This window comes from Homo sapiens, chromosome 5 (genome assembly GCF_000001405.40).
Source record: "Homo sapiens chromosome 5, GRCh38.p14 Primary Assembly".
Classification (NCBI taxonomy): Eukaryota; Metazoa; Chordata; class Mammalia; order Primates; family Hominidae; genus Homo; species Homo sapiens.
The window spans coordinates 173,795,280-173,803,371 of record NC_000005.10 but is presented as its reverse complement, the minus strand read 5'-3'; the positions used below and the strand labels follow the sequence as shown (position 1 = coordinate 173,803,371).

General features: G+C 47.1%; 1 annotated feature.

The window, feature by feature from the left end:
* Positions 332 to 626: an enhancer, noted in NCBI's record as "tiled region #2476; HepG2 Activating DNase matched - State 5:Enh". NCBI's record gives its function as "activates a minimal TATA promoter and a strong SV40 promoter by Sharpr-MPRA in HepG2 cells {active_cell/tissue: HepG2}" and the evidence as "EXISTENCE:reporter gene assay evidence [ECO:0000049][PMID:27701403]".

Sequence of the window (8,092 nt, the reverse complement as noted above, 5' to 3'; positions counted from 1 at the left end):
AAGTTTAGATGGGAAGGTCTTATGATCTTAATGTGCCTGGGGCAGATGGAGTAAATATTTTAGATCTAGAATAGTAAAATAATGATGATGATAATGATGATAACTATCCTTTACTGAGAGTTTATCCTGAGCTGGATACAGTGTTAAAAGCTTAAGACGCATTATCCTGTTGAACCCTTACAATGACCTTGCAATGTAAGAACCGTTATTATCCTCCTTTTACAGATGGAGAAACTGAGACTGAGGGAGGTGAGCTCCTTCATTCAAGGCGTGCCGCTGGCATCAGAGTTGGGGTTGAGCCAGCTCTGCTGACCCTCAGGCCAATGCCCTTGGAAACCACCACCCTGCCCACCCTTGGCCCCTGCCCACAGACCCCTGCGCCAGTGTCTCCCATGGCAAGCTGAGTGAATGAGGCTTAGGTCCAAGGGGCAGCATGGGCCACGCCCCATTCCCCAACAGGGCAGAGCCTTTGCCATGCACAGCCACAGTGGATTTCAACACTCTGATTTCCTCATCTTCCTTTCCCAACGTGTGACCTGCTGATCCAACATGTGACCAGGCAGGGGCAAATGGGCTGAGATATGAGAAGGGGACAGGCCTCACCTCTTTCCTGGACTCCCACACTCACCTCCCCACAGCTCCCGTGGATTCCAGTGTCTTCCCTGGCAATCTCTGCTCCACAGCAGCTCGAGGGAGCTTGTATTTTATTTTATTTTTATTTTTATTTTTTTGAGACAGAGTCTCACTCTCTCTCTCAGGCTGGAGTGCAGTGGCGCGATCTCAGCTCACTGCAAGCTCCGCCTCCCGGGTTCAAGCGATTCTCCTGCCTCAGCCTCCCGAGTAGCTAGGATTACAGGCATGAGCCACCATACCCTGCTAATTTTTTAAATTTTAGTAGAGATGGGGTTTTGCCATGTTGGCCAGCCTGCTCTCGAACTCCTGGCCTCAAGTGATCCGCCTGCCTTGGCCTCCCAAAGTGCTGGGATTACAGGCGTGAGCCACCATGCCTGGCCTGAAGGAGCTTTTAAAAGTGTCAGTTTGATTATGTCACCCCGCAGCTACATTTTTTTGTAATTTGTCTGCTGCTTAGAATAAGAGTCACACTCCCTGCTCTGGCCTCGAGGCCCCACATGCAACTGCCTCCCCCCAACCTAGCTCTCCTGCCTGACCTCTCTCCACTCTGCTCCAATGTCCCTTCCCAATGAGGCCTTCCACAGCCATCTCAGGTGCATTCACTCACTCTCCATCTCCACCCAGTTACTCTCTAGCACATAACCTTTTTTTAAAAAAAGTCATTTTTTTAGCTGGGCACGGTGGCTCATGCCTGTAATCCCAGCACTTTGGGAGGCTGAGGCGGGTGGATCACAAGTTCAGGAGTTCGAGCCCAGCCTGGACAACATGGTGAAACCCCCATCTCTACTAAAAATACAAAATTAGCCAGGCATGGTGGCGGGCACCTGTAGTCCCAGCTACTCGGGAGGCTGAGGCAGAAGAATTGCTTGAACCCAGGAGGCAGAGGTTGCAGTGAGCCGAGATCATGCCACTGCACTCCAGCTTAAGCAACAAAGGGAGAACCCATCTCAAAAAAAAAAAAGTCATTTTTTTGGTGGTAAAGCATACATATATAAAATGTATCTTTTTAGCCACTTTTAAGTATATGCTTCAGTGGCAGTAAGTTCATTCCCATTGTTGTGTGACCATCACCACCATTTGTCTCCAGTCGTTTTATTCATGCCAAAGAGAAACTCTATACTCATTGAACAATAATTCTCCGGCCCCTGGTAACTTCTACTCTACTTTCTATCTCTGTGAATTTGACTACTCTGGGAATCTCATATAAGTGGAATTACACGGTTTGTGTCCTTTTGTCACTGGCTTATTTCCCTTAGCATAGTATCCTCAAAGTCCATGCATGTTGTAGCATGTGTCAGAATTTCCTTTCTTATTAAAGGTGAATGTAGATACCCACATTTTGTGCATCCATTCATCTGCTGATGAACAGGAAGGTTGTTTCCAACTTTGGGCTGTTGTGAATAGTGCTGTACGCAGCTGTGAACAAGTGTCGGGTGTTGCACAAGCTTTTGTATTGTGTCTCTAACACACCACTGCTTGAAATGATTTTGCTCATTGCTTTGTTTGCTGACTTGTTTTCTGTCTCCCTCCGGTCATCTCCTTGGATACAGGAGCCTTGCCTGTTTGGCATTCGATTGTCATCACAGGCCCATAACGGTGTCCTGCTTATGCTAGGTGCTCAACAAATATTTCCTTTTTTTTAATCGAGACAGAATCTCACTCTGTTGCCCAGGCTGGAATGCAGTGGTGCGATCTCGGCTCATTGCAACCTCTGTCTCTTGGGTTCAAGTGATTCTCCTGCCGTAGCCTCCTGAATAGCTGGGACTACAGGTGTGCACCACCATGCCCGGCTAAGTTTTGTATTTTTTGTAGCACTGGCATTTTGCCATGTTGACCAGGCTGGTCTTGAACTCCTGACCTCAGGTGATCCGTCCAGCTCGGCCTCCCAAAGTGCTGGGATTATAGGCATGAGCCACTGCACCCGGCCTCAATAAACATTTTTGAATGAAGGATGAATAACACTGCAGATGGCCCAGCCTGTTGGGCACAGGCCTAATCACCACTTCTAAGTGAGTACGTGTCTGAAACACTAAAATGCTCACAGGCATTCACAGGCAGCATTTTAAAAATTTCATTTATTTGTCAAATTTAATATAACATTTCCAAGAGTAACATGTACCCTGTGGTCCATGGAAACGAAAGGTGTGTGTGCAATCAACAAAACCACAGGGACTGAGAGAGCAAGGTTAAATGTAGGAATCCAAGGAGTATTCCACCGATCCGCCAGAGCGTGTCTGTGCTGCTTAAGTCAGATAAGGCGAAGGTTTGGAATGTCCTGAGACAAGGGAGTGGTATTCGCCTCCCTCATAAAAACTCACCACCATGTTTTGGGCACATGTTCTTTGCCAGTGTCTGATTATCTGGGACTGCTGTGAATAGGAAGATCGTTTCAGGGGAGAAAGCAGCCCCTTAAGCACCAATGAAACAACAGCATCATCATGCCCAAAACTCTTTCCTCAGCATAGCAGTGTCAGAAATAGCAGCCAGGACTCCTGCATTCAGCCTGCTTTGCCACCCTTGGTTGGGACTGGATGGGTGTTGCTTGTCCTTTTTGCTATTCATGGCTTCTTGCTTTTTCTGAGCCAACCAAGGTCCAATCTCCCGTATATCCTTTTCCTCGCATGTGTGTATGTGAAAGTGTGTGAGACAGAGTGCCTGTGTGTATGTATGAGTGTGTGAGTATGTGTGAGACTGTGAAGGGATGTGGGGTGGAAGGGTGTATAGAAGTGTATATATGGGCTGGGCGCGGTGGCTGACGCCTGTAATCCCAGCACTTTGGGAGGCTGAGGTGGGTGGATTATCTGAGGTCGGAAGTACGAGACCAGCCTGACCAACATGGAGAAACCCCGTCTCTACTAAAAATACAAAAAAATTAGCTGGACGTGGTGGCACATGCCTGTAATCCCAGCTACTTGGTGGGCTGAGGCGGGAGAATCGCTTGAACAGGGGAGGCGAGGTTGTGGTGAGCCAAGATCATGCCTTTGCACTCCAGCCTGGGCAAGAAGAGTGAAACTCTGTCTCAAAAATAAATAATTAGTTAATTAATTAATTAATTAAAAAATAAGTGTATATATGTACATGTGTGTGGATGTGTGTGTGTGTGTGTGTGTGTGTTTTAACTGCAGTGACATTGGATAAGTCACTTAAACTCTTTGAGCCTCTTTTTTGTTGTTCATAAAAACAGACAAATGAAAAAAGCTCCTCCCTGCCCGGGGATGTGTGAACTCAGTGGGTAACATCTGTGGGCATTCCACATGGTGCTGGGCACATGGCAAGTGTTAATAAATGATACCTGTCACTTTCAGACTCTCTATCACGCAATCTCCTGACCAAGAATCTAGCTGTCAGTCACCTCTTAAGCTACATAAACTACACTCTGCTTTTATTCAGCTGGGGGTAGAGTGCAAAGAGGGGATATTTGTTGAAGGAATGGAAGAGACAGTTTTCTATGCTGACAGCATATCAGAGTGGCACATTTTCTCACTTCACTTTGTGTTTTATGTCCATTTTCTCACTGGATCCTCACTTCAGCCCTGTGTAGTTGCTTTAGTGATAACCAGTTTACAGATGGGAAGCTTGAGGCTCAGAGAACAACAGATCACACATCCAGCAAGTAGCAGAGCAGGCATTTGACTCCAGACCTGGGCACTTCAAAGCCACCGTTCCCTCTACTCTCCAACACTGAAGGATGGCTCTGGAGTCAGCCAAAATGCCTGCTGGGGAGGTTGTGTGCCAGGCAGGGGACACAGGATAACCAAAGGCCAGGAGAAGAGAGAAATAATATGTATGTGATTCTGGAGCCCAAGGAGAATGTGAGGAGAGAAAGGGTGAGGCTTGAATTTAGGGTGAGGTTGAATTTTGCAGAGCCTTGAAGTCTGCATTGAGACGTTTAGGATTTATTTCAACAGAGAACCTAGACCAGATTTGAGTTTAAGCAAAGTGATTTTGACACATCCAATAAAAATGATCATAGAGCTACCCCCAAGGAAGAATCCTGGAGAAATAGCAGTGGCCTGGGCTGGGGCAGCTCTCGGAGAAGCTGGCTGGGAAAGCCACCACCCGCCAGGATCCTGCTGGAGCCTCATGCTGACCACCCGGCTCTAGGGCCCAGTTGCTCCCTCTCCATCTCTCACTGCTCGGAGCAAATGGATCTTGTGCTGCAGGCAATAACTTCAGGAACCCACTCAAATGTCAGTGGGGGATCTATGTTCCATGGCCACAGGGGCCTTCTGGAAAAGAGAGGTTTCCAGAAGCAGTGGGTACTGTGGCCAGTAGGAACACCCTAGCTGATTGCCATGATGACCAGTGGGGTGTTGCCTTTCCTTTCTGTGCTCCTATACTCCCTCTTCCTTCCTCCAGTACAAACTAGCCCCATGCTACTAGAAGGTACTCAATGACAGGCTGCCTCCTCTGGCTTTGAGTAAAAGCCTGAACTTGAGTTATTATGCTGCAGGGGAGGGAGAGAGCCAAGTGCCTTTGAGTGCAGTGAGACAGAGGGAGACTGACCAGGACTGGGTGGGGGTGGAAACTTCAGTGACCAATGGAAATGGCTGAGTGGCACATTTAATTCAGGGAGGCTAGACCCTGGCACAGCAGTACAATAGATGCCTACCTATAGGGGCCCCCACAGAAGGGATGAGGAGAAGATCAGCAGTAGCCAAGTCTGCAAGGTTGGACTGAAGACTGATTTCAGGTGGGAGCTTCACAGATGGTGCATTGCCCTGAAGAAGAGGGGTCCTGGGCCAGGCGCGGGTGGCTCACGCCTGTAATCCCACCACTTTGGGAGGCTCAGGAGGGGGATCACTTGAGCTCAGGAGTTCATGACCAGCTTGGCCGACATGGCGAAACCCTGTCTCTACTAAAAAATACAAAAATTAGCTGGGTGTGGTGGCACACACCTGTAGTCCCAAGCTACTCCACTTTGGATTTTATGTCCACTTTGTCACTGGATCCTCACAAGAGGCAACAGAATCCCTTGAACCTGGGAGGCAGAGGTTGCAGTGACCTGAGATGGCACCACTGCACCCAGCCTGGGTGGCAGAGTGAGACTCTGTCTCAAAAAAATATAAAATAAGAGAGGTCCCCCCCATCTCATCTCACAACTGAGATCAATTTTTCAGCTACCTCAGCAAGAACGTGGAGTCGGGGTCAGATTTAATTAGACCTCAAGGAAATAAAATAATGTAACATTTCTTATGCAGTCAAGTTTATGGAGTAGGATGCATATCCCAGGATCTTAATTAATAGGACACAGACATCGTCATAACAGTGAGGTCTTTATCAGGGACTATCTGGTTGCTAGAAATGACCTTTTACTAAGAAAAGTTTACATAAATGGGAACTAGCCATCAAGATTCAAAGCAATCTCACAACTGAGGCTGCAGAAAGTGGGCGGGGCTTCCAGAGAGCTAAAGTGTCCTCCCCATGTCTCGCTGGGGCTCCTGGGGTGCTGCCCTGCTTCTCTCCAATCACATGCTCCATCACTGTCTCTGCAGATCCACATTGTCTGTAGGTTTTTTCTTCTTCCTTTTCCAGAAGTTCAGCCCACCTGGGATTTTAATGTACAGGGCTCAGATCTGGTCCAGCCCTCAGCCACCTCTGGGGGAGGCAGGAAAGTCAAGTGATAAAGACCCAGGTCATATTCTGTCTATGGAACTTTGTTACTGCAGGTGCCAGTGGAGTAGCATTGCAGCCAAATTGCAGCAATGCAGACAAACTACATCCACATCCCTCCTTTCCCCACCGATCTATCCCGTGTGTCCATGTTGCTGAGAAGAGGCCCGTGCTGAAAACGTCAACCAACAGATGCTAACGGTAGATATAGGCTCAAAAGATCTCAGGGAATGTCCTTCCCAATATATAAAACCCATGTTCACTTCACGCCTTAAATTCTTTATCTGCTGTGTCAGTTCCAAGAAATGTTTTGTTTCAGAGTTAGTAGAACTTATTTGGAATTTCCTATTGGAATTTCAGTCCATGGTATATAGTATTTACATAAACAAAATAATATAGGTTCCTCTAGAGATACCTTACAATTATTTTTAGTATATACTATATATACTAAAAATGGAAATATTTAGCTTCTGGTATATTTTTAGTATATATAATATGTACTATACTCAACTATACTAAATATGTACATTAATATATACTAAGCTATACTAAAATATTCTAAAAGCTAAATATTTTGATTTTTACTTTAAACTTTTTTCTTGGAGAATTGGGATGCATCGTAACCAGCTACATGCCATAATCTGACAAACATGGTCCTTCATTAAACTTGATTTCCTCATCTATAAAATGGGTATACAAACAGAGCTTACTTTGCAGGGTTGATGTGAGAACGAAATAAAGCTCAGCAAACACTAGTCTTTCTTCTTCTTATAACCTTGCATCGAAGGGCTAACACTATCTAATTGATCCAGAGCCTGGATCTCTTGGTTTAAATTCTCCAAAGGATTCATCTGATTGGCTGTGAAGTGTGTCTCTCCAGGTTCAGGAATATTCCAGAGCCAGGTTGGAGGAGAAGGATCACGTGAAGCAAGCATGAGCGCACAAGCTAACCTTGCGGCTGGTGGGGAGGGTGATTGCTGAGAAGCCAGGATAGGCAGGACTGCCACGGCAGATGCAGAATTGACAATAAGAAGATTCTAGAGTCCTAGAGCTGGAAAGGCAATTGAGACCATCTGGCCCAGTCTCTCCAGTTTTCCATGTTTAGAAACCAAGGCTCTGAGAAACATAGTGACCTACTTGAGTATTGACCTACACAGTGAATCAGAGGCAGGAGCTCTGCTCTTCCCACCCTGCATCCTATCTAAAGGGGCAGGAGGACTGCCAGGCAGGGAGGCCAGCCCATCACTCACCCTCCTACCTCACCATCTCAGAGCTCTGAGTTAGCTGGTGTTGCAGCCTCCTCCTGTCAACACCCTGGAATCCAGGCTGCAGGAAGTGCTCAGTCTCCTGGCCTTCTGCTGCCCAGCCCTGGCCACCTGTACAACCAGGTTCCACCCATTCCTTCCAGCTAAGCAGGTTTGATGGCCACATGCATGCCTCCCTCCATACGTTTGCTCAGGTAGTTCCCTTACCTGGAATGCCCACCTTCCACTCCCCACCCTCCTGAGTTCCACAGACTCTGCTGGAGGCCACACCCTCTGAGAGGTCTTCCCTGACGCATATCCCTACCCTACTCCAACCTAACAATTTCTGTGTCTTTTTCTCTCTCTGCACTGTCAACTGCCACCTGCCCCATCCAGGGGGCACATAGTCACATATTGCCTGCCAATTTTAATTCAATTATAAGTTCTCTGTTGAGGTTCAAAACCTTGTCTCAATCATTGCAACAACAAAGCACCCAGTGCTGTGCTGGGTGCCTGGAAGGTGGTCAGTAAACATTCGTTGAAGGAGTGAGTGAATGGAGTGAGTGAACAAAGTGAGCGATTGAGTAATTGATTGTCAGTTG